This window comes from Homo sapiens, chromosome 9 (genome assembly GCF_000001405.40).
Source record: "Homo sapiens chromosome 9, GRCh38.p14 Primary Assembly".
Lineage (NCBI taxonomy): Eukaryota > Metazoa > Chordata > Mammalia > Primates > Hominidae > Homo > Homo sapiens.
In genome coordinates this window covers 137,005,956-137,007,233 of record NC_000009.12, presented here as the reverse complement: position 1 = coordinate 137,007,233, position 1,278 = coordinate 137,005,956, and positions in this window count along the sequence as shown.

The following is a 1,278-nucleotide window of genomic DNA, read 5'->3' as shown; positions in this document are numbered from 1 at the left end:
TGCGGGTCTGCGTGTGTGGGTTGGGAAGGGTGGGGAGGATGGGCGCATCAGGTGGGTTAGCGCTCCAGAAGGCCCTGCCCCTCAGGCACAGGTGCTGGCAGGGGGTGGCTGGGTCGGTCTGGAGGAGGGAAACTGAGGCAGGGTGGTTCACCATGGTTCACTGTCCCCCTCATCCCACCCTCAGGGGTTGCTCCCGGCCCCCTTCCCCTTAGCCTTCATCTTCCCGTCCACCTGCCCTCTCTAAGCCTCCTTCACCCCTTGCTGCCCACGTGGGGCCTGCAGCAGCCTGGGCTAGGCTGTCTCCGTGTCATGGAAGGGACAGCGAGGGCTTCCAGGAAGAGGCGACCTCCAGGAGGAGACCGAAGTCTGTGAAGATTCCTTAAGGGAAGGGCATCCCAGCCAGAGGGCAGGGCACAGGCCAAGGCCCCAGGGAGGCAGGACCTGGAAGCTTTGAGGCTCATCAGCGGTGGAGCCTGGCACACTGTGGGCAGGAGATGGGGGAGGGGCATGAATGGCCCCCAGAGCTCACGCCCCGTGATCTGGGCCAAGTTCAGACTCTTGCCTTAGGCCGTTTCAAGGCTCCTCAGGAGGGTAGAGGGTGGACTCACTGAGGGCTGGTGCCACATGGGGGACAACAGGGGAGGGGCCCATGGGCTTGAGGGCACTGGGTGGGCTGGGCCAACACATCCACTTGGGTTCCTATGAGGCACTCACTGTGACCACCTGAGAGGCAGTGGGATGACCATGCTGGAGTCCCTGAGAGGCTGGGTCACTGGGGTGAAGCTGTCCTGGGCCCTGGGGGCGGTTCACTCTGGAAGAACCGAGAGGAACAGTGGCTCACTGGAGGGGCTGGTGTGGGTTTGGTGGTCGGCCAAGGGAAATGCGTGGGGGAGCCGCCAGAAGGCAGGAGGCCGCAGCAGCCTCCGTCCTGCAACTGTAGGGGCTGAATCATGGCAGAAAGAGGTCGAGAAAGGAACACGGCCCAGCCGAGGCCCAGGGAGACCCTGCGCGCAGGACCAGGCCAGGCTGGACCTGGACAGCCGCCCACAGACTGACACAGTTCACGGGGGCATCGTCCCTAGAGGTTTCATTTTCATGATGTGTAATGCAGCATTGAAAGCAAACACACCCCCCAGCATCTTCCTCAGAACATTTTCCGCCGAGCACGGTGGCTCACGCCTGTAATCCCAGCACTTCGGGAGGCCGAGGCAGGTGGATCATCTGAGGTCAGGAGTTCGAGACCAGCCTGGCCAACATGGTGAAACCCCATCTCTACTA